Raw genomic sequence first — 24,140 nt, 5'->3', positions numbered from 1 at the left:
CCTCTCATCTGTTGAATGATCTCTACATGTCTCCACTTATATCCAATATCGTATATTTTACCATAAAATCCAAATGTACTTCTACGTTACAAATTCAGAGAAATTAAAATAAGCCACAGTCATACAAATTTAAAACCCATTCAAATTCAGAGATAATCTTTTTTCTTTTAGATGATTATTTTCTCCAGAAAGTTAGATGAGAACAAATTAAATTCCATCTGACTACTTATTAAGGAATTTCTACATGCTAGACAGACCACCAATCAATTGTAATCTACATACTAGCACCAAATTGGAAAAAATGAAACTTTAAAAAAATTCCCATGTAAGCACTTAAAATAATTAGGAATAAATCCAATAAAAGATGTCCAACACTTCCTACACTGAAAACTACAAAACACTGCTGAGAGAAACTAAAGAACCTTAAAAAATAATAAGATACACCATTTTCAAGGACCAGAAGACTCAATATTTTTTAAACGACAATTCTCTCCCTAATGATCTGTATATTTAATACAACACAAACTGAAATTCCAGCAGGCTTTTTGATAGAAACTGACACTATTAATACCAAAATTTATGGAAATGCAAAGAATCTAGAGTAACCAAAATTTACCATAAAGCTACAGTAATCAAGTGTAGTACTGGCATAAGTATAGATATGCAGGGCCAGGCACAGTGGCTCACACATGTAATCCAGCACTTTGGGAGGTATAGGCAGGTGGATCACCTGAAGTCAAGAGTTCGAGACCAGCCTGGCCAACATGGTGAAACCCCATCTCTACTAAAAATACAAAAATTAGCCGGGCGTGGTGGTGCACACCTGTAATCCCAGCTACTCGGGAGGCTGAGGCAGGAGAATCACTTGAACCTGGGAGGCGGATGTTGCAGTGACCCAAGACTGTGCCACTGCACTCCAGCCTGGATGACAGAACAAGACTCTGTCTCAAAAAAAAAAAAAAGTATAGGTATACAAATCAATGCAATAATAAAAAGACCCACTCATTTATGGACAACTGATTTTCAACAAAGGTCAAAGTAATTAAATGAGGAAAGGATAGTCTTTTTACCAAATGGTGCTTGAACAACTGGATATTCATATGGGAGAGGAGAACCTGAACTTTTACCTCACATCCTACACAAAAATTAACTTGAAATAGATCATAGGCTTAAATGTAATGTCTAAAACTGTAAGGCTTCCAAAATAAACACAGGTGAAAATCTTTACAACCTTGGTGTAGCTAAATACTTCTTAAGACACAAAAAGCACTAACCATAAGTAAAAAGTGATAAACTGGACTCAACAAAATTAAGAAACATCTGCTCTTCCAAAGACTGTTAAGAAAATGAAAGGCAAGCCACAGAACAAAAGAATACAGTCATCTCTCGGTATCCCTGGTGGACTGGTTTCAAGAACCCCTCTCTACCCTCCTAATCCACCCAAAACTGAACACCAAAATTCGAGGATGCTCAAGTCCCTTATTTAAAAAAAAAAAAAACCCATATTTGCATATGCACATCTTCCTTATACTTTAAATCAATCTCTAGATTATTTATAATACCTAATATGATTAAATGCTATATAAATAGCTGTTATACTGTATTTTTTATTTGTATTATTTTTTATTCGCATATTGTTATTTTTTTACCAAACATTTTCCATCTTAGATTCGTTAAATCTGTGGATGTGGAACCCTCAGACAAGGAGCGCTGACTGTATATTCAAAATTCACACAGCTGACAAAGTACTTGTATCCACAACATATAAAGAACTTGTAACTCAGTAATTTTTAAAAGCTTTTTTAAAAATGAATTAAGAATTAGACACCTCATCTAATAAAAGGATATACAAATGGCCAATGAACACATGAAGAAGTGTTCAACATCATTTGCTATCAGAAAAATGCAAATAAGGCAAGGCATGGTGGCTGACACCTATAATCCCAGCACTTTGGGAGACTGAGGCGGGAAGATCACTTGAGCCCCAGATTTAAAGACCAGCCTGGGCACACAGCAAGATCTCATCTCTACATAAAAATTTTTACAAAATAAAATTAGCTGGATGTAGTGGCATGCACCTGTAGTCCCAGCTACTTGGAAGGCTGGGGTGGAAAGATTCCTTGAGCCTGGGAAGTCAAGACTGCAGTGAGCCAGGATCACATCAACCTGGACAACAGACAAGACCCTGTCTCACAACAAAAAACAAAACTTTTAAAAAGAAAAATGTAAATAAAAACCACAATAAGATATCAATTCACACTAAAAAAAAAAAAGTTAAAATTAAAAACACAGCATATAATGTAAATGAGATTACAGGAAGATAAAATGGCACAATCAGTTTGAAAAACTGTTTAACTTATTAAGAAACTGCAAAATATACACCATATGACTCAGCTATTCTACTCCTATTTGCCCAAGAGAAATAAAAACTTAAGTCCACAAAAAGACTTGTACATCAATGTTCATTGCCACTTTAATCATAATAGCCAAAAACTGGAAACCCAAATATCAGGTGAATGAAGAAACAAATTGTGGTATAGCCATACCACAGTGAATACTACTCAGCAATAAAAGGCAACAAACTACTGGAACACAAAGCAACATGGAGGACTCTCAAAAACATGCGGAGTGAAAGCAGCCAGGCATTAAAGAATATGTACAGTATGATTCCATTTACACACACAAAGTTTTTTTCTTGAGACCGGGTCTCACACTGTCACTAAGCTGGACTGCAGTGGTGTGATCCTGGCCCACTGCAGCCTTGAACTCCTGGCTCAAGAGATCCTCCCACCTCAGCCTCTCAAAGTGATGGAAATATGGGCATGAGCCACCTTGCCCAGCCCACTTACATGAAATTCTAAGAGACAAAATGAATGTATGCAAATCAGTGGTTTCCTTGAACCAGAGGAGGGGAGGGGTGTGGTGCACTGACTGTGAGGGACACGAGGAAGGTTTTGGAGATAACAGAAATTCCATTACCTTGATTAGGGTGATGGTTATCTGGGTGGGTATGTACATTATCAAAAGTCATCTAACTGCACCCCTAAAATGAGTATATTTCATTGTTTAAATTATATTTCAATAAAGTTGATTTTAAATCCTAATAAAACAGTAAAGTTTATTTACATAAGCCTAGATTACACAAAATTTTGAGAAACTATTGAGTCACATTATTTGTATTTTAGCCAAGTAATAGTAGCCTCCTAAACAGTCTTCCTTCAATGAATACTCCCTAGTCTTTACTCCCTCAAAGTAAACACGGACTAATTCATAACAATTCTGGTTTCTCCAACCAAAAGCCCTTCTTGTGACCTACTTCAGAAGCATAATATTGCTTATTACCATAAAATTTTATTAATAGAAGTTACCATGTTACCATGTGCCAGATAAAGTGAGCTTTTATAAATATTCTCATTTAGCTTTAAAACTCTGCTGTTACATAGGTAACATTATCTCTACTTACCAATGAGAAGACTGAGGGTAAACTTTCTGGATAATCTCCCTAAGGTTACACAACGTACAAAACAGAGAAGCAACAAATGGCCTATTATACAACACTGCCTCCCACAAAAGTAAGTAGTTCCCTTCTTCCCACATCATGATGTTATCTCTCTGTAGGAGAAGGTGAATTGTTACTTTACTACTGAAGACAACTTTGAACAAGGCCCAGTAGTTGACCCTTCACCTATCATCTCCAACAATCCTTATGAAGTGGGGTCCCATTTTATAGATGAAGAAACTGAGGTTCACGGAGATCAAGCAATTCATCAAAACACAAACTTAAGTGGAAGACCCTGAATTCAAATCTTTATCTATCTGACTTCAAAGTCCATGCTTTTATCACCATCTTATAGGACTTCAATAAAGCCACAAACAATGCATTATAGCCACTGGTAGTGGTCAAAGCTACAAAAACAATGTCTTTAAAGGAGAAAAGTCTTTCTACAACTCTTTTACAGCCATATTACAACGGTTATCCTCATTTCCCAAGATCTATAATAATGACTATTGTTTTTGAAACAAAGATTAGTACCCAGAAGTGTTTTGGATTTGGAATTTTTTCAGATTCTGGAATATTTGTATATACATAATAAAATATCTTGGGGATATAACCCAAGTCTAAACACAAAATATATTTGTTTCATAGCCTGAAGGTAATTTTATACAATGTTTTGTAATTGTGTGCATGAAACAAAGTTCTGACTGCAACTTGTCACTGGAAGTCAGGTATGGAATTTTCCACTTGTGGCGTCGAATAGTTTCAGGTTTGGGAGCATTTTAGATTTCAGATTTTTGGATTAGAGATGCTCAATCTGTACATAAAAATGCTAATACAAGGAACAACAGTTCTAAATATTAAAGTCAGGGAAATCCTGAAAAATCTAGGATTATATATTTTGTGCCAAAATATATCAAATATGTAAAGACTTCCTTCCATAAATCATCTGTACTATAATACCACATAGCCCACTGTTTAAACTACTTCAAAAATAAAATCTGTTCAGATAAAACATGTGGCCTGTACAGTTAACCTTTCAGGCAAAATCAAAACCCTACTTTGAAGTGATAAAGCACCTTTCTCCCATTATTAAATAACAATCATTCGGGGCTCTATCTCATCTCACATATTACCCTCCAGAGCACAAGTCTGTTTTGTCTGTTTGTTTGTTTTGCTTTATAATGCTGCAAATGGAAAATTCAAGGAAGTGGTTAATTATCTTTCTCAATTTTACAAGTCTAAGAAATCTAAAAATAAACTTGTATCTACAATCTTTATCAATATTGCTCAATTCTACTAAATCATAAGGCCTTCTTCTGACCACCAGTATGAGAAAGAAAAGGAATAAAAAGAAAAAAGAAAAATTTAGAATATACATCTGAAGGCCTCAGCAGCAACACTTCTTAGACTAAAAGTGTAATAAAAACCCTCTTAAGAGGAAACAAAAATGGTCTTCATACTTAAACTAAGTGATTTACAGTGTTTTATATCAAACATCTTAGAAAGTTAAGACAACTGTATTGATACATGTACCCTAAAGTCAAAATTAAAAGTCTCAAACGTTAGTATATGTGATAATAGCTGGATGACCAAATACATTTAAGTATGCTCAAGTTTTAGAACAAGATATCAATCAATCAACCATGTGCTTCTCTAGTTTCCAAGGTCTGTAGCCAGCAATGCAAAAAACCAGCAATCTGTTTCCTCATTAATGTATATCCTCAAATTGTCTGCAATCCAATTTCTTTTTTAAGTGAAAGCAAGTTTATTAGAGAAGAAAGAAAGTGCAATCTAATTTCCATTTAAATAGTAAGAGAAATGACATGTGAGTGAGACCTACAAAATATACTCTGTATCTACTCTTCTAGGTTCTATTTCTGGATCAAGTCATCCACCAATCATATCACTCTGGTCACAGAGATCACAAACTTGAATATATGAAGCAGCCTGGTGAAGGACAAAAAGACTGCAATTGTGCTTAACAAGAAACCATGAGCTGCTTTTAAAAATTATTAACTCAAAAATTCAAAACACTCTGTTAACAGTAATATGGTTATTGGGTATACATATAATAAAATTAAATTTGATCCCTGCCTCACATCACACACCAAAAAAAAAAAAAAAAAAAAAATTCCAGGTAGAACCAAGACCCAAAAAAAAAAAAAAAAAAACTGGTGGGGGCATAGCGGTTCACATCTGTAATCCCAGCACTTTGGGAGGCTGAGGCAGGAGGATCAGTCAGGCCAGGAGTTTGAGACCAGCCTGGGCAACATAGTGAGATCCTGTCCTCACAAAACTAAATTAAATTAATCATGTGTGGTGGCACATGCCTCTAGTCTTAGCTACTACAGAGGCTGGGGTGGTGGGATTACTTGAGCCCTGTCGCAAACAAAAAAACAAACAAATCTATTCCATACTCCAAGGTTATTAAGATTCTCCCATTTATTTATTTATTTATTTATTTATTCGTGAGACAGAGTTTCACTCTGTCACCCAGACTGGAGTGCAGTGGCTCAATCACAGCTCACTGCAGCCTTGACCTCCCAGGTTCGAGCTATCCTCCCACCTCAGTCCCGGCACACACTACCACACTTGGCTAATTTTTTAAGTTTTTTGTAGAGACAGGTCTCACTCTGTTGCCCAGGTTGGTCTCGAACCCTTGGGCTCAAGCAAACTTCCTATCTCAGCTTCCCAAAGTACTGAGATTACAGCCATGAGCCACCACACCCAGCCAAATTTCTTTTAAATTGTTTTTTACTTCTGTTTAAATGTGTACTGAAAAAAATTAAAGCAACACAAACACACATACCACTCCAGTGGCAACTATTATATATTTTCAGACCCTTCTATATGCATATATAGATTGCATATATCATATACATATGTGCCTGCAAAAATTTTGCACTGTAAGATTATACTGTGCATATTTTCTCTGCAAAATACTTTTTAAAAAACTTAACTAGTATATAGTAGGCATTTTCATGTCACAACGTATAGCTCTAGCTTATTCTCTTAATGTCTACAAAAAAATTCTGAAGTCTGGATACATATAATATATTTTTAACATTTAGATTGTTTTAACTTTCTTCACTAGTCAAGCAATGTCAGAGAGCATCTTTGTACACAAATTTAAGACTTTATATGAGAGTTCCTAAGAGTTTTTAATAAACATTTTAAAGACAATTCACAAGAAGGCTTACTAACCCAGGAAGTTTTGAATAGCAGCGTGGGAGCCACGGGAAAACTTCTCCTTTGCTCTTTAATGATTCACTTAAAAACCACCTCACAAAAGGGAGATCAACTGAAGAAATGAAGTAACAAACTTGTTAATGTGCATGAGGAGAACCACAGAGTGATCACCCCAGGTTTCTTAAATAAAACACAAACAAGAAAATAGTGATATATTTTATAATAATCATTTCTATTTAACAAAACAAACCATATAAAGTTAAGAGATAAGCCACACAGACTGAGAAAAGACAGTTGCAATTCACTTAACAAACATAATCGAAGTATGTAATGAACTTAAAACTTTCTAAAATCAATTTAGAAAGACCACCCAAATGGCTGTGGAAGGAAAAGAACAGCCAATTCAAGAAACAAACACTTGAATAGTCATCTAACATTTGAAAACATACTCAACCCCATAATCAAAAATAAAAATTAAGACAATGTGGTAACATTTCACACTCATCTGATTTGTAAACATGTAAAAAATCTGACAATGCCATTAATCATAACAATCGGAAGATGGCAAATTCTCATACTCTAGTGCTAAAATATGCAAAGTGACAGCAAATTTGACAATATCCAATACAGCTAAAAAAATTCCCATAACCTCCAAAATCTTCAGCCCAATAATTGCACTTCTGGGTAATTCACCATAGAGGGCTTCATTTCAAACTTAATAACCACATACATACACACAGAAATAAAAATTTCACAAAACATTTTATCCTTATTGTTTGCAATACAACCTGATATTTTTCTAATTCCTGAATTGATTTCACAATCCATTAGGGAGTCGCGACATGTGGGGTTTTTTCTGTTTGTTCATTTGTTTTTTAAGATGGAGTTTCGCTCATCACCCAAGCTGGAGTGCAATGGCGTGATCTCGGCTCACTGAAACCTCTGCCTCCCAGGTTCAAGCGATTCTCCTGCCTCAGCCTCCTGAGTAGCTGGGATTACAGGCACGCGCCACCCCGCCCAGCTAATGTTTGTATTTTTAGGAGAGATGGAGTTTCACCATGTTGGTCAGGCTGGTCTCAAACTCCTGACCTCAGGTGATCCGCCCACCTCAGCCTCCCAAAGTGCTGATATTACAGGCTCAAGCCACAGTGCCCAGCCACAACATGCAGTTTTTAAAACTTGCCAAAAATCTTAAATGTAAGCACAATGATTCCTAATAAGGAATGTTCAATGTAACATTATTTTTAATACATGAAAACCTGGAAACAATCTAAATGCCTATCAACATGAGAATAAATAAATTTTATCTGGCTATATTCATATAATAGAAAATAATTTTACAGCAGATAAAAGTATGACTATTAGGGTGGGCCATATGAAACTGTCATTTTTGTAGGTCAAAATGGTAACGTATCAGCAGTTTCATATAAATCAAAAAAATTTTCATGAAAGACAAATTATAGAATAAGCAGAATATATCATTTACATCAAATCTGAAAATATGCAAAGCAATACTATGATTTGTGAATATATACCCATGTAGTAATTACATAAAAACATGCATTAAAAATGATCAGGCCAGGAGTGGTGGCTCACACCTGTAATCCCAGCACTTTTGGGAGGCCGAGGTGGATGGACTGCTTGAGCACAGGAGACCAGCCTGGGCAACAGGCGAAACCCAATCTCTACAAAATATACAAATATTAGCTGGGCACAGTGGTGTAAACCTGAGTTCCCAGCTACTTGGAAGGCTGAAGTGGGAGGACTGCTCAAGCAAAGGAGATGGGCTGCAGTGAGCCATGATCATACCCCTGTACTCTAGCCTGGGTGACAGAGTGAGACCCTGTTTCCAAAAAAAAAAAAAAAAAAAGATCAACACCATACTCAGAATAATAGTTAACTTCTGGGAAGAAAGTAAACTGTAATCCAAGAAGTTGCTTCAACTGTACATGATTTTTTTTCCTCAAAAAAATGAGAAATATGGGAACATGCTAAGATATGCTACAGCTGTATGGTTAATATATGAATGTTAATTATATTGGTCTCTGTAGTCTCATGTATGTTTGAAATATTTTAAGGAAAAAAAACATATATTGGCCAAATAAAACATACATCTGCAGCCTAAATTCAAATCAACCCCTAAAATGTATTTCATTGGCTTGAAATCTTAATGCTTAGCCCTCACCTTTTTTTTTTTTTTAAATCTAGGGCCACTAACAACAACAAAACAGCTTTTATATAATGTCCAGTTTAAATAGTTTCTTAGAAATCTGTGAAGAGAGGATTTCACCCCTGAAAAATTGGTCTTGTTCCTCCTTTTAGTTTAGTGCTATGTATTTTACCATACTTCCATTTTTACCCTCGCTGCCAAGCAAACTCAAACCCAATTTTTATTCTTAGTCATTGAATTATGCTGTCACTTGGGAAAAGAATATATGCTTTGTCCTTTCCCTGATTTCTTCTTTTTACACATATTTTATTACACTTCCAGATCTTTTATTTTAAGTTACCAGATATCCTTTCTGGAAGAAATAGGATAAAATAAATTTCAAGAAAATAAAGTCAATCTTCTGTGCCATTCTGCTGAAGTTTTCATAATGTAACCCCTACCACAAAGACATCCTCCTTAACCAAAGGAATGGATACATGGATACAACTAGGCATACATGTTCACTAAACTTAATTTCAAAACATACAAGATTAAAGTGAATATGCTGTCAATGAAAAATAATCAGCTGATATACTAACAACAAACATACAAAAGAAAGGCCTAAATGGCCAAAGTGTAATAAGCTAACTAATTTTGCCCCTTTTAAGACCATATGCTTTGTGTTTTGTTCTCTAGTACACAGACATTGTGGAAATAAGAATATTCTTATATTCAATAAATCCAGTAAGAATGTGTAATATGATCAGTTATAAAGAAAATATCATTTTGTTGTAGTCTTCCATTAAAAAACTTAAGTGTCCTTTTCCAGTTATTTTTCCCATGCCTGAAGATAATCTGGCAATTCTCAGAATTTAGCTTCCCTTTTCCTTCTGTCTGGACACTTGTCTAATTAAGCCAATCTATAATATCATTGGCCAACATATATCCCCTTCTAACACATGGTATACTCCAATCCAGAAAACTCAAAACCATAAGTAATGTTAAACAAATCCCCTTTTTAATAAATTCCTCAACTTCCAATTTCTAAATACCAAATGTACTTATAAAATAGGCTAATTATTTCCTAACAGGTCCTAAGATATCAGTTCGTCCTATTTAACTTATCTTAGAGTTGAAAGATGAGAGACAACATATGCCAAAGTGACAATTTTATAATGAAGTTTTTCTTTTCTTTTTAAGACGGAGTTTCGCTCTTGTTGCCCAGGCTGGAGTGCAATGGTGCTATCTCGGCTCACCGCAACCTCTGCCTCCCGGGTTCAAGTGATTATCCTGCCTCGGTCTCCCAAGTAGCAGGGATTACAGGCAGTGGCCATGATGCCTGGCTAATTTTTGTTTTTGGTTTTTTTTGTTTTGTTTTGTTTTAGTATTTTCAGTAGAGACGGGGGTTTCGCCATGTTGGCCAGGCTGGTCTCAAACTCCCAACCTCAGGTGATCCGCCCACCTTGGCGTCCCAAAGTGCTGGGATTACAGGCCTGAGCGACCGCACCCAGCATGCACTGCAGTTTTTCAAGTTTGTATTTCACAATTTGAAAATATTATTTTTAACAAAATTAAAGCACTTCACTCAGCAGTAACCCCAACAGTTACTGGTTCATGAACCAATTTAGATTTTTAAAAGACCATTTACTTACCACCTGCTATATACCGGAACTGCCAGTAGATTATCAAGAAAGTTACACGTTCCTTACCCTCAAGAAATATATAGTCTATTAGGCAGGCACCCAGATTCTTTTTGATCAGTGATAACAAAACCATATGCTTTCAAGAGCCAAGCAGAGAATGTAAATAGGTGAAGCAGCTCCACCTAAGGGAGGCCCGGGAACAGAATGCATGCTCCACCTGAAGTAATCGTAAATCAACTTTAAAAGAATGCTATTGAAACAAAGCATATCTCCCAGTTAGATAGAATATACTGCAAATGCTTAACCTCCTATCAGATAAACAAAGATTTTTTTTTTTAATTTGTAATGACACAGAGAAGCTAGACTCCACCCACATTTCTGGTGAGAGTTTACATTGCTGTGACCTTTCTGGGTGGCAATGTGATAACACACATCAAAATGAAAAATGTGTTTTCTTCAACTATTACAAAATTACTAAAGGGGAATTAGCTTGCAATAAATATACATAAAATGTATGGGCAATTTACAATCCATTTATATAATCTAAATATCCATCAGTAAGAGCAGTATTAAGTTATAGCATATCCATTTAATAATACTACACTAGAGAACTACTAAAAAGAAGAGAGTAGATGCAGATGTAAAGTAAGCCACAAATATTAATTTTAAAAACACACACACAGGGCCTGTCATGGTGGCTCAAGCCTATAATCCCAGCACTTTGAGAAGCTAAGGCAAAGAGGATCACTTGAGTCCAGGAGTTCAAGGCCGGCCTGGGCAACATGGCAAAACCTCGTCTCCATTAAAAATGCAAAAATTAGCCTGGCGTGCATCTATAGTCCCAGCTACGTGGGAGTCTCAGTTGGGAGGACTGTTTGAGTTCGAGAGGGCAGTGAGCCGTGATTGTGCCATGGCACTCCAGCCTGGGTGACAGAGCAAGACCCTGTCTCAGAAATTAAATAAAATACACACACACACACACACACACACACACACACAATCAGCCAAGACAGCACCACCTGCTGAGCTCCCAAACACTGTTTCTGGTCACATCCAGAAGTACAACGCCACAGCTCCACACCACAGCTGAAATGGGTTTGCAAATGTCAGCAGTACGGGTTCTCTGAGAACTACTCACTGTGGATCCAGTCTACAGCCAACATGTCCTGCAGAAACTAGCTGCCCAGTAACAAGCAGCAGTTATAGAATCTAATAAAGTGGAGCCACTGGCTGACATTAAAGGGTTACTACAGCAGTACTATATACACTACAAATCCAATATGGAGATTCTCAAATTAAAACCAATAAACCTGGCAAAGAATTGACAGAGCTGGTGATATTTATGGCACAGATTGGTCACTGTTACCCAGAACATCTAAGTAACTTTCCTCAAGAGCTAAAAGATCTACTTTCCTACAATTATACTGTACTGTCTTGAATCAAAATCATCTAATAACATTTTACAAAGCTTTGATCTTGCTGAGAAGTATCATATCCATCCATCAAGTTTGCTAGAGCTCTTTTTTGAACTTCCAAGTTGCCATAATAAGCTTTTGAGACTTTACATACTCATGTTGTGACTGATAGCAAGAATATAACTGTAAAACACAAGAATAAAGTGGATATAGTACTGCAGAATTTCATATACATCGTGTTAAGAGACAGCAATGTAACTGCAGCCAAGATATCTTTGGATGTGATGACTGAACTCTACAAGAAACATCCGGACTGATGCCAAAACTGTCAATGTCATCACAACTGCATGTTTTGAGATATTGGTTGCCACCTTGACATTCTTCCTAGGATAAGATGAAGAAGAGAAACAAATAGGACAGACTCAGAATCTGAGGATAAAGTGACAAGAGACCTACAAGTGCAGTATGTCACTGGGAAGAGTGGCTCCAAACACAAAACACTGAAAAGGTTATGAAAAGTGCCCAGGAAACAAAAGAAGAAAAAACTCACAGTGTTTAACTTTTAAGCTATTAGCTTTATTCATGATCCTCAAAGTTTTACCAAAACACTCCTGAAGCACACAGCTAGAAATCTCTAAGCAGAGGTTTGAGTTAACATGATGCTCATAAATCTTATCTCCAGATTGGCAGAAATTCATAAGCCCTCTAACTTCTATGCCTTTGGGCAAAAGTTTCTGCTGCTGCACCACAGAGAAGTAACAGAAATCACTGTTTGCTAAACATGCATTTCATCACCTGTTAGTCCCAGAGATCACTCAGTTATTGCTCATGACTGTGACCATCCATTATGTTATGGACAAGAACTTTAGGGAAGACATGACAGTCCAAATCAGTGCTATAAGAGGTAATAGCTCAATGTCCCCTAGCCATGACAGAAGAACTTCCTCAAGACCTGTCCCAGTATAAAACACACAAGGATAAGAATATGATGCTGTCTACTATAACTGTGATTCAGTTCTTCCAAATCCTCAGATGATGCAGAATTCCAGGGTAAGCTGACAGAGGCCCCAGTAAAATCAACAGTGCAAGAATATGGCCAGGGACAATGGCTCCTGCCTGTTAAATCCAGCTATTCAAGAGGCTGAGGGAGGAGGATCGCTCGAGGCCAGGAGTTCAAGACCAGCCTGGACAACATGGCAAAACCCTGTTTCTACAAAAAATACAAACATTAGCCAGGCATGGTGGTGCATGCCTGTAATCCCGGCTACTTGGGAAGCTGAAGTGGGAGGATCACTTGAGCCCATGAAGCGGAGGTTGCAGTAAGCTACGATTGCACCACTGCACTCCAGTCTGGGCAACAGAGTAAGACGCTGTAACCAAAAAAAAAAAAAAGAAGGAAAAAAGAAAAGAGAAAGAAAAAGAGAAGGCTGAAAATGATAAAGATGGGTGGGGAAGCACCAGTCTCAGTGAGGAGGAGGGTGCTGCTGGTGAATCTGTTGACAAGTAGAAACTGCAAGAAATCTCCTAGAAGCTGAACAGCACCCATGGAGGAGTGAAAAGCCAAACTAAACGATGACTTCTAGAAAATCTGCATGGCTCAACTAAGGAAAAAATTCAGTGCTGCCCCCAGGGAAAGCCCAAGAGGAAATGTATTGAAATAGTGATAAGGAGCAAGTAATTTTTTCTAACATTGATGACAGTCATAAAAAGCCAAAGTCTGACAAGGAGACATGACTAGCAACTGCAATGGCTGGACAGACCAAAAAGAATTTATGAGGAAGAAAACCAAAATGAATCATTTTCCAAATCCAGAGATAAAGAGAAAAAAGAAGAACTTTGATGATTAGGTATAGCCAGAATGTCCCGTCAAAAAAAATAAGCATTCCTTTGGGGAAAAGCTGCTGCCACTATGAGATACACTTAAAAAAAAAAATAGAAAAATAAAAAGAGAGAAAAAGTAACATCCAAGCCAGCCTTCCATTCCCAAAATAAATTGTCATTAATCTGAAAATTAGTAAATCAAGAATGTTTACATTAGAAAGTCCAAAAGCACTATATCCTGAAAACCACCAAAAAAGGTGAATGACTGCTGAATGACGGGTTTCGTCATTTTTTTTTTTTTTTTTTGAGATGGAGTTTTGCTCCTGTTGCCCAGGCTAGAGCGCAGTGGTGCAATCTCGGTTCACTGCAACCTCCACCTCCCAGTTTCAAGCGATTCTCCTGCCTCAGCCTCCTGAGTAGTTGGGATTACAGGCGCGCGCCACCATACCCAGATAATTTTTTTTTTAATATATTTTTGGTAGAGAGGGGGTTTCATTCATGTTGGCCAGGCTGGTCCCGAACTCCTGACCTCAGGTGATCCACCTGCCTTGGCCTCCCAAAGTGCAAGGATTACCGACGTTAGCCACCACCCTCAGCCCACTTTTTTTTTTTTTTAAGAGACAGAGTCATGCTGTGTTGCCCAGACTGGTCAGAGTCATGCTGTGTTGCCCAGACTGGTCTCAAACTCCTAGCCTCAAGCAATCCTCCCACCTCAACCTCCCAAGTAGCTGGAACTACAGGCGCAAGCCACCACTGGGCTTGATCCCATTTTTGTAAAAAATAACTCTCGGCCAAGTGCAGTGGCTCATGTCTGTAACCCTAACACTTTGGGAGGCTAAGGTGGGAGGATCGCTTGAGCCCGGGAGGTCGAGGCTGCAGAGCCATGACGGCACCAGTGCACTCCAGCCTGAGATACAGAGTGAGATCTTAAAAAAACAAAACAAAAAAAAAAAAAAAACTGCAACACAAAGAATAAGCCCTATGTAAACTATAGACCAATAAATAACAACATATTGATATGGGCTCATCAAATGCAATAAATGTGCCAAATTAATGCAAGATGTTTGCAATAGGAGAAACGAGGGAAGGGAAGGGAATATGGGAACTTTCTGTGCTATCGGCTCAAATTTCTGTACATCTAAAGCTGCTAAAAAAAAGTGTAATTTTTAAATTCTGAATATGCAGACAAATCTGCAAATAATTACTTGTATATGCACACAAAGAGAGGTGAAAAGACCTATATCAAACTGTTGCCCCTGGTTATCTACAAAGGATGAAAACTGGAAACTAGCGCATGAGAAGGAATTTTTTTACATTATACAGTTGGCCCTCCATATCCATGGGCTCTTATGTCTGTGGATTCAACCAAGCTTGGATCCAAAAAGTTTAATATAGCATCTGTATTTGAAACATGCAGACTTTTTTTTCTTGTCTTTATTCCCCAAACAATACAGTATAACAACTATTTACATAGCATTTATATTCTATTAGGTATTATAAGTAATCTAGAAATGATATAAAGTATTTGGGAGGATATGCACAGGTTATATGCAAATACTATGCCATTTATATCAGAGATTTGAGCATCTGTGCATCTTGATATTCACCAAAGGTCCTAGAAGCAGTCCCTACAGACACCAAGGGATGACAGTATATCTCTGGACTGTCTAAACTTTCTACACTGAGCAATAATGTAAGTAGAGGCTCTGTAGCATATTGTTAAGAATTTGGGTTTCTCAAATCAGACTGCATGAAATCAAATCCTAGCTCCACCATTTGCTAGCTGATAAACTTCCAACAGTTACTTAATTTTTCTCCTTGCCTTAGTTTCCTCACCTGTAAAACAGAAATCATAGTATACACTCACAGAGCTGCCACAGCAATTAAATAATTTCATACACGTAAAGTAGTGGAAATTGTCTAGTACATAGTAAGTGCTCAATAAATGTTAACCAGCATCTTCATTACCAAGCATTTATTATTCCTGGATTTTCTTTTTAAATCTTGACTGGTAAGACTAATCATGAAAACCCGGTTCATAAGCCCCTTTCTAGAAAGACCTCCAATGCAGAAAATACAAAAGCAATCAAAATCCAAATACAAATAATGAAATACTTCTTAAAAAAGCAGATTACAGGGCTGGGCACGGTTGCTCACACCTGTAATCCCAGCACTTTGAGGGGTGAGGCAGGTGGATCACATGAGGAGTTCGAGACCAGCCTGGCCAACATGGTGAAACCCCGTCTCTACTAAAAATACAAAAAAAAAATTGGCCGGGCTTGGTGGCGCACACCTGTAATCCCAGCTACTAGGGAGGCTGAGGCAGGAGAATTGCTTGAACCCAGGAGGCAGAGGTTGCAGTGAGCCAAGATCGTGCCATTGCACTCCAGCCTGGGCAACAAGAACGAAACTCCGTCTCAAAAAACAAAATGAACAAAAAAAAAAAAAAGCAGATTACAAACCAACATTTATCAATTTGAGTTCATTTATATAAAAAATAATCACCAACAAATTCTATAATCACAGAAAAAAAGCCCCAAGTGGTGTACTTGTAAATAACTTTTACTTTCTCCTTTACAATTTTCTGACTCATTTAAATTTTCAACATTGACTATGTATCATTTTTAATGGAGCTCGGCAAACTTTTTATATTAAGGTCCACATAGTAAATAAATATAAGGTGTTACAGGCCACATGGCTCTCTGGCACAACTACTCAACTCTGCTGCTGTACCCCAAAAGAAACTACAGACAATACCTAAACGACTGCATATGGCTATGTTCTAATAAAAACTTTTTTCTTCCTCTTTTTTTTAAGACGGAGTTTCGCTCTTGTTGTCCAGACTGGAGTGCAATGGTGCAATCTTGGCTCACTGCAACCTCTACCTCCCGGGTTTAAACGATTCTCCTGCCTCAGCCTCCCGGGCAGCTGGGATAACAAGAGTGCGCCACCACACCCGGCTAATTTTTGTAGTTTTAATAGGGACGGGGTTTCACCATGTTGGCCAAGCTGGTCTCAAACTCCTGATCTCAGGTTATCTGCCCGCCTCGACCTCCCAAAGTGCTGGGATTACCAGCGTGAGCGATCGCACCAGGCCTAATCAAATCTTTATTTACAAAAAGAGGCAACTGGCAGGACTGGGCCTGCAGGCTTTAAAATCTGTCAATCCCTGAAATAAAGAATAAAACAAAATTATTTTCATTTTAGGAAACAAAATGTGATTTATACTAAAAAAAAAAAGTGCACCAGCTAAATTGATACTATTGATAGAAAAAACCATTTATTTATAAATTCATACAAGGAGCCTAGGGATAGAAAAAAAAAACAAACTCTCTTTTAGGCTCTGGAAATCCTACTCCCATTCCTAGTGTCAAGTGAAAAGAGGAAATCTGCTAAGCAGACCAAAGTCTAGATAGGAACGTATACTGGAGGACAGACAGTTACAATCAGAAGTTAAAAGAAATATGCCTTTCACATTTAATTTGCAATTTTTTCAAATTTCATAATTCACCAACAAGCAGCTGCCACATGTGTGGAAATCTTTACTGATGAAATAATTTTAGTTGCAGATCATCACAATCAACACTCTGACAACAAATTTATCAGAACGGATGAAAACATCTAGGAATTACCTAAGAGTCGTTTAAGGAGACATAAGGGTGGCCTTTGATAAGAGGTCACTTCAAACTTTCAGAACTGACAAGACGTATAGCCTCCCCCCAAAAAATAATGCTATGGGTAGATGGATGCTTTTTTCTGAAGGAATTTTTAGCATTTCATTTGGAAAAGTTCTGTGATCAAATAATGCTAAATGTTATGACAGCTTTCTTGGCGTTTAAAGGGATTCTCTGGGTGAGGGGAAGGGGTGATAAAAAAAAAAAAAGTCTGCTTTTGGAACAGAAATGGGGGACAATAACCAAGGCTCAGAAACCCAGAGTCAAAAAATTAAAAGAACATCTTATTTTAAAAAAAAAGTCAACAACCTGCAATGAAGTCACCGTACCCCCATAAAATCCCAACTGTGCATTTAAATCTTTCTACCAAAATTCACTTTTGGACCATCTTATGAAGTTGTCAAAATTTCAGAGGCAAACGCTTAAATCAAGATCAAAAGCCAGGAGGAAAAAAGAGCTAACAGTTTCCAACCCAAACTCTCTCCGAGCCCCCTAAAAACTGATTTATAACCCTGTCATCGGTAATTTTAGAAGAAGCGAACACTGACGGACGGGGGCTTGGGAAAACAGGACTCCAGGTACCAAGCAGGCTGCCTGACGCGCCACCTGAAAAAGGTGAGGGAACTCTTCCCCACCCCAGTCACTGTGAAAGTAGCGCTGAGAGAGCCCATCCCAAGCCTCCACCAAACAAATTCCTAGAAGTGATAAAAACAGACAAGAGACGAAGAGGGGCGGGCAGATCCTCTCCGCGGGCAGGGAGCTGGAGCAACTGCACCCGAAGGTGAGCAGAGGGCAGCAGGCTCCGACCCTCCGCCGCGAAAGGCGAGGCGAGGGGAACAGCGGGCGCCGGACTCCTCCGACAGCGGTCGCAAGGAGGGCGGCTCCAGGTCCCCACACGGCCGACCCTCAGGCCAAGGCGCGCCGGGCGGCAGGTCAGAGTTAGGAATCAAGTTGCGGGCCGGGCCGAGAGCGCGCTCTCCCGCCCGCGCCAGGGACATTCGCCCCTCAGCTCTCACCTCCCCCCGACCCCAAGCTCTCCCTCTGCGCCCAGGAAACGGCGCCCACACTCCAGAGACCCTCACCCGGAGCCCGTCGCCGCCTCACCGCGTGTCTCGGACTTCTTGGGAGCCACCGCTGAGGGGAGGGGGGAGGAGGGGGGAACGGAGGAGGGAGGGGGCCAAGCCCGGTGTAGCCGCCGCCGCTGCCGCCGCCGCGATGCCGCTTCTGGAATCGCGCTCTCGCCGCCGCGACAGCGACCGCCGCCGCCGCGTCTCCCCGCCCCCACGACCGCACGTCGCCGTGACGCGCATCGCACGAGGCGGTTCGAGCCAATAAGACCACACGCCGTGCGCAGCCGCGCTGTCCTAAACCGGAAGCCGCCCCTCTGACCGCTCTAAAACCTGGGTGCATCGTGGGAGCTGTGGTTCGGCCAGGAACTTAGCGAAAACTATACTGGGTGTTGAGGGCCGGAGGAGCGTGCGCTCCTTAGGCGCTCACACAACTCCTCGGAGTTTTTTCTCCCACCGAAAAAGGAAGCAATTTGGAGCTGAGGAGGAGGGGGCCGCCCCGGCTCGCGGATGCTTTTCGCAGTCTCTATGGATACTGGCTACACACTTTGGGCAAGAGCCAGAATTTGAGGATTTAGGCTGGATCGTGTGTCTCTGCCAAGGGCTGATAGGATGCTGAGCGTCGTCTGTGAAGACTGCGGAAAGAAATCCAAAAGCATTAGCCCAGTTTTGCCCAGAGCAATAGTGTTTGCCTTTTATTACCTTATTAAAGATTATGATTTATGCTCTACCACTTCTATTTTTTTTAAAACCCAGTCACTCTTAAAATACATATAATTCAGAGCGATTTTTAAAATGATGTTAATGTAATGGTATATCAGAACCTACTTAAGCACTAAATACCTGCGTCCATTTACCCAGAATGAGTAAGTAATTTTCCACAAGTCATCTTTACGTTGAGTTCTAACTTCTTAGAAGCCAAGAACAGATTTGGTTACGTACTTATTCTATAAGAAAAGTGAATATAAGAGTTAGTCTGCGTAGAAAAATAGTTCTTTACATTCAGTAGGAGGGGGAATTTATCACATTCTTAAGGCGTAAATGCCTTAACTATCAAAATTCTTGTTATTGACTAAAGGAAATCCATACGATTTAGGGAAAGTCTGTGCCCACGGCTTACTGTCCTTACCTTTGGACCACAGCAAGAGATAACAAAGGGTGCAGGGAAAAGCTGACAGGTCTTGAGGGAGCTGGAGTCGGATATATGACGAAAAAAACAAAAATACAGAAGTCTTCATTATGGAAATGTAAGTTTTAAAAAGTAAAGCTACTAAAATCACAAAGAACATGATTAAGATGGCAATAATACAGAACTAAGGCCCACTCATTTAAGCTTGAAAGAGATAAAACTAGTAGAAATTAAAATTAGGAAATAAATGTTAAAGGAACTAATTTCCTCCAAGGAGTGGTTTACATTGAAAATATAATTTTTTTAAGTTTACATAATTTGTGAAAGACATAATAATAATGACTTCTATGTTCCCAGGTAAAGATGTAAAGCTTTTGAGGTTGAAATCAAGGAAGACAATTGTACACCTCCTCAGCACATCAGAAACAATACAGGCATTTCTGGATTGTGAATTTGACCCGTTATACCAACTCACATAGAACAGAGATAAGAAGTATAAGATTCTTAGGCTTAATAAAGAGTCTACTAAAGGTGACAGAACTAGAGCGAAAAAGATAATTTTCTTAAAAAGAGATTCTTCAAAGATCTCCAATCTTTCCTGCATCCCTTTCTCTTAAAGACTGGTTTCCAGGCCAAGCGTGGTGGCTCACACCTGTAATCCTAGCACTTTGGGAGGCCGAGATGGGCAGATCACTTGAGGTCAGGAGTTCAAAACCAGCCTGGCCAACATGGCGAAACCCCGTCTCTACAAAAATACAAAAAATTAGCCAAGCATGGTCGCGCGTGCCTGTAATCCCAGGTACTCTGGAGGCTGAGGCAGGAGAATCACTTGAACCTGAGAGGCAGAGGTTGCAGTGAGCTGAGACCGTGCCACTGCACTCCAGCCTGTGTGACAGAGCAAGACTCTGTCTCAAAAAAAAAAAAAAAAAAGATTCTGGTTTGACAAAACGAAGGGCTTTAAGAAGCTACCTCTGGAACAGTTCACCGTGTGCTGAACCAGATGAAAGACAGACTTACCATTTCCCTAAAGTTTCACATCTTGTTCTCGGTTACCTTGATCCCATTCACATATCACTACTGCCAGTTCCTGATGCTTATATAGTGATGAAACAAACCACATCATTTCCTCAAAATACCCACACCTCCTTAACTATTGAGGATGTTGCCACTGTCCCTGACCTGAGCACCTGAGGAACATTCCCCTGATCCCCACATCCATAAGGCTGGCTTCACCCTTAACCCTTATCTAAATGTCACCATTAAATATTCCAAAGCAGAATTTTCAGGCCCTCTCCCTGACCATACTTCAGTTACTAAACTTTATATATTGTCTTCTGATTAGCTGTCCAAAAAACAAGAAAAACTCAGTAAAATTCTCTAACCTCCAGCATCAGCTGCGTATCTTAGAATTTCTGTTCTCTCCATTCTTGGGGTATCACACTACTCCACAGGAGGGTAGAGCCCTTTATCTTCTGCAGCACCAAAAAAAGATTCCCTTCCACCCCTATCCCACATGCCAGTCACCAGTGACCCAACAGTACCCTGTGGCTCAACTAGTCTGATGTAGTCATCTCTGCAATTATCAGATGTTATTGAAAAGGATGGCGCATCACTAGGTGAGTCACATCCATAATCCAGTTGTGGCTCCAGTGACACTATAGTATATTGCTGACATGATGGACAGAGTTAAACTCCATTGTGATATCCAAGGCAATAGCCAATGAGATTCGCATATGTATCTAAGGCATGGTAGTGCGCACCTGTAGTCCCAGCTACTCCAGAGGCCAAGGCTGGAGGATCACTGGGCTCAGGAGTTCCAGGCTGCAGTGAGCTATGATGGCACCACTGCACTCCAGCCTGGGCAACAGAGTGAGACCCCATCTCTAAAAAAAAAAAAAAAAAGAAGAAGAAGAATATGTATCTAAAGCTAAAAGCAAATGAACGTTCAGCTTTAAATTTTTTTTTTTTTTCATAAAAAGAGAGTCTCACTATGTTGCCCAGGCTGGTCTCAAACTCCTGGGCTCAAGCAATCCTCCTACCTCCCAAAGTGCTGGGATTATAGGTGTGAGCCATTGTACCGAGCCAACTTTCAAATTCTGAAAGAAAAAATACCCTAGATCCCAGTGCAAATTTAAACTTGAGTTTGAAACTGGTTTATATTGCTTCTCTTATAGAGAAAAGACAAGCTATCATTTTTCTTATCAGAATCGTATCTATTTTTAAGAAGGAAAAAAGACAAATTACTTCGCCAGTGAAAACCAGAATTAGAGTGTTCTTTCAGAGACCTGTGTCTGTGAGTTTAAAAAAAAAAAATTACAAAGGGAAATTAACAGCTTCGTTATTACAAAATACTTAATTCTAGCCTAAACTCTTCTTTTCAGCTCCAATATTTATCAGCTTTCAAAATATAAACATTAGAACTGAGGGGGAAATCTGGACAACATAGAAGATACACCATAAAAAAGATAAATCAAAAGAAAGGGCAAGGAATGTCGTCACATCAGTCCCTCTGGTTGTCTCATATAGTGTCCATAGAACAGTGAAATCCAGCCAGCTATTTAGGATTCAGTGGTGTTAGATGCTTTGCAAATAGTCTAGTAATCTACTTGAGAAAATTAGAGGGAAATACATAAATATCTGTATTCCATCTTAATTGCAATTAAACGAATCACTGATATCAAATTGTTATGTTGTTTAAAACTACATTAATCAGGGCCGGGCGCCATGGCTCACACCTGTAATCCCAGCACTTTGGGAGGCCGAGGCGGGCGGATCATGAGGTCAGGAGATCGAGACCATCCTGGCTAACACAGTGAAACCCCATCTCTACTAAAAATACAAAAAAATTAGCCAGGCGTGGTGGCAGGCGCCTGTAGTCCCAGCTACTTGGGAGGCTGAGGCAGGAGAATGGTGTGAACCCGGGAGGCGGAGCTTGCAGTGAGCAGAGATGGCGCCACTGCACTCCAGCCTGGGCGACAGAGTGAGACTCCGTCTCCAAAAAAAAAAAAAAAAAACAAAACAAAACAAAAAAAAAAACTGAAGAGAAAGACCAGTATAAACACTCCAATAATTACATAAATTACATTCGCAGCTCCTCAAACGCAGATTAGATAACATAGTCCTGCAGATTGAACTTAAGATAGAACATCATTACTGGCTGTGCTGCTGACAAAGGCATTGTTTATCTATGGCTTATGCATTAGCTCTTGTTAAGCTTTGATACCTTCATCAATAAAATGAAGATGTCGGTGAATACATGTTTTAGATGGACAGAAAGGATAAATACAACTTTAGGAATGTACTTGCCGGTGGGAAGGGGTGAAGAATAAGCCTGGGAGCTATGGAGAGATCATCTTTATCTGTAATATTTCATTTCTTCTATATGAAAAAGATGAAGCAAGTAACAAAACATTTAACATTTATGAATCCTAGGTGGTATGTACATGGACATATATTAGAGGCTTCTCTGAACTTTTTTAGTAGTTGAGAAAAACAACTTTATTGAAGTATATTTTATATAAAATGCACCCTCTTTTTAAGTGTACAGTTCAAATGAGGTTTGAAAAATGTATACTCCCGTGGAAGCATAACCTCAGTCAAAATATACAACATCTCCAACACCCCCCGCAATCCCCCTGTGCCTATTTGGAGTCAGTATTTCCTCTCCCAAGCCTGGCTCCAAGCAACCACTGATATTCTTTCTGCCACTATAGAATGCTTTTGCCTCTTCTAGAATTTCCCATTAATGGAATCGTGCGATATGTACTCTTTTGCTCTGTCGACTTTCTCTCAGCATGGGGTTTTTGAGTTTCATTCATGCTATTGCATTCATCATAGTTCGTCACTTTCCGTTGCTAGGTAGTATTCCATTTGTTTATCCATTCACCTATTGATGAATGATTGGGTAATTTCTTGTTTTTGTTGTTGTTGTTTTGTGAGACAGGGTCTCACTCTGTCACCCAGGATGGAGCGCAGTGATGCAGTCGTACCTCACTGCAGCCTTGATCTCCTGAGCACAAACAATCCTCCTATATCAGCCTCCCAAGTAGCAGGGACTACAGGCATGTGCCACCATGCCTCGCTAATTTTATTATTTTTTGTAAAGACAGGGTCTTGCTAAATTGCCCAGGCTGTCCTCAAACTCTTGGCCTCAAGCGATCCTCCCATGTTGGCCTCCGAAAGTGCTGGGATTACAAATGTGAGCCACTGTGCCCAACGTCTAGTCCCTGATTGTTATAAATAAAGGTATTGTGAACATTTATGTACAAATCTTTAGAGGACATGTGTTTTCATTTACTTTTGATAAGGGGGTGAATTAGCAAAATCATATAAATTTATGTTTAACTTTATGAGAAACTGCCAAATTGTTTCCCCATTTTACACCCTCACCAGCAATATATGAGATTTCCAGTTGTTCCACATCCTTGCTAACCCTTAGTATTGTCAAATTTTTTATTTTAGCTATTCTAGTGGGTATGTCAGTGTTATCTCATTGTGGTTTTAATTTGCCTTTTTCTGATTGTTAATGATGTTGAGACTTTTCATGTGTTTATT

The 24,140-nt window shown here is 39.1% G+C and overlaps 1 protein-coding gene and 1 pseudogene across 8 annotated transcripts in view, besides 6 other annotated features; one reads left to right on the top strand and one right to left on the bottom strand.

Moving 5' to 3' along the window:
- The window catches only part of ADIPOR2 (adiponectin receptor 2), a 97,605-nt gene extending 78,989 nt beyond the window's left edge, over positions 1-18,616 (bottom strand). For 3 of the 8 annotated variants that reach the window (NM_001375364.1, NM_001375365.1, XM_047429547.1), the window contains exon 1: positions 18,473-18,616. The gene's annotated coding sequence lies outside the window, so the exon portion shown is untranslated. Of the gene's footprint in view, positions 1-6,703; positions 6,801-18,472 lie in introns of all 8 variants that reach the window. The other 5 variants (NM_001375363.1, NM_024551.3, XM_047429548.1 and 2 more) reach the window with 3 other exon arrangements.
- Positions 2,791-2,960: a silencer, noted in NCBI's record as "silent region_4122". NCBI's record gives its function as "represses an Ori minimal core promoter by ATAC-STARR-seq in GM12878 lymphoblastoid cells {active_cell/tissue: GM12878}" and the evidence as "EXISTENCE:reporter gene assay evidence [ECO:0000049][PMID:35858748]".
- On the top strand, positions 11,642-12,995 carry LOC100533654 (SDA1 domain containing 1 pseudogene; annotated as a pseudogene).
- Positions 18,222-18,800: an enhancer, noted in NCBI's record as "H3K27ac hESC enhancer chr12:1800052-1800630 (GRCh37/hg19 assembly coordinates)". NCBI's record gives its function as "activates a minimal SCP1, AML or CMV promoter by ChIP-STARR-seq in primed H9 embryonic stem cells {active_cell/tissue: H9 hESC(primed)}" and the evidence as "EXISTENCE:reporter gene assay evidence [ECO:0000049][PMID:30033119]".
- Positions 18,314-18,403: a silencer, noted in NCBI's record as "silent region_4121". NCBI's record gives its function as "represses an Ori minimal core promoter by ATAC-STARR-seq in GM12878 lymphoblastoid cells {active_cell/tissue: GM12878}" and the evidence as "EXISTENCE:reporter gene assay evidence [ECO:0000049][PMID:35858748]".
- Positions 18,424-18,723: a silencer, noted in NCBI's record as "silent region_4120". NCBI's record gives its function as "represses an Ori minimal core promoter by ATAC-STARR-seq in GM12878 lymphoblastoid cells {active_cell/tissue: GM12878}" and the evidence as "EXISTENCE:reporter gene assay evidence [ECO:0000049][PMID:35858748]".
- Positions 18,884-18,933: an enhancer, noted in NCBI's record as "active region_5811". NCBI's record gives its function as "activates an Ori minimal core promoter by ATAC-STARR-seq in GM12878 lymphoblastoid cells {active_cell/tissue: GM12878}" and the evidence as "EXISTENCE:reporter gene assay evidence [ECO:0000049][PMID:35858748]".
- Positions 18,954-19,113: an enhancer, noted in NCBI's record as "active region_5810". NCBI's record gives its function as "activates an Ori minimal core promoter by ATAC-STARR-seq in GM12878 lymphoblastoid cells {active_cell/tissue: GM12878}" and the evidence as "EXISTENCE:reporter gene assay evidence [ECO:0000049][PMID:35858748]".

This window comes from Homo sapiens, chromosome 12 (assembly GCF_000001405.40).
Source record: "Homo sapiens chromosome 12, GRCh38.p14 Primary Assembly".
NCBI classification, from domain to species: domain Eukaryota; kingdom Metazoa; phylum Chordata; class Mammalia; order Primates; family Hominidae; genus Homo; species Homo sapiens.
This window is presented reverse-complemented; position numbering and strand designations above follow the sequence as displayed.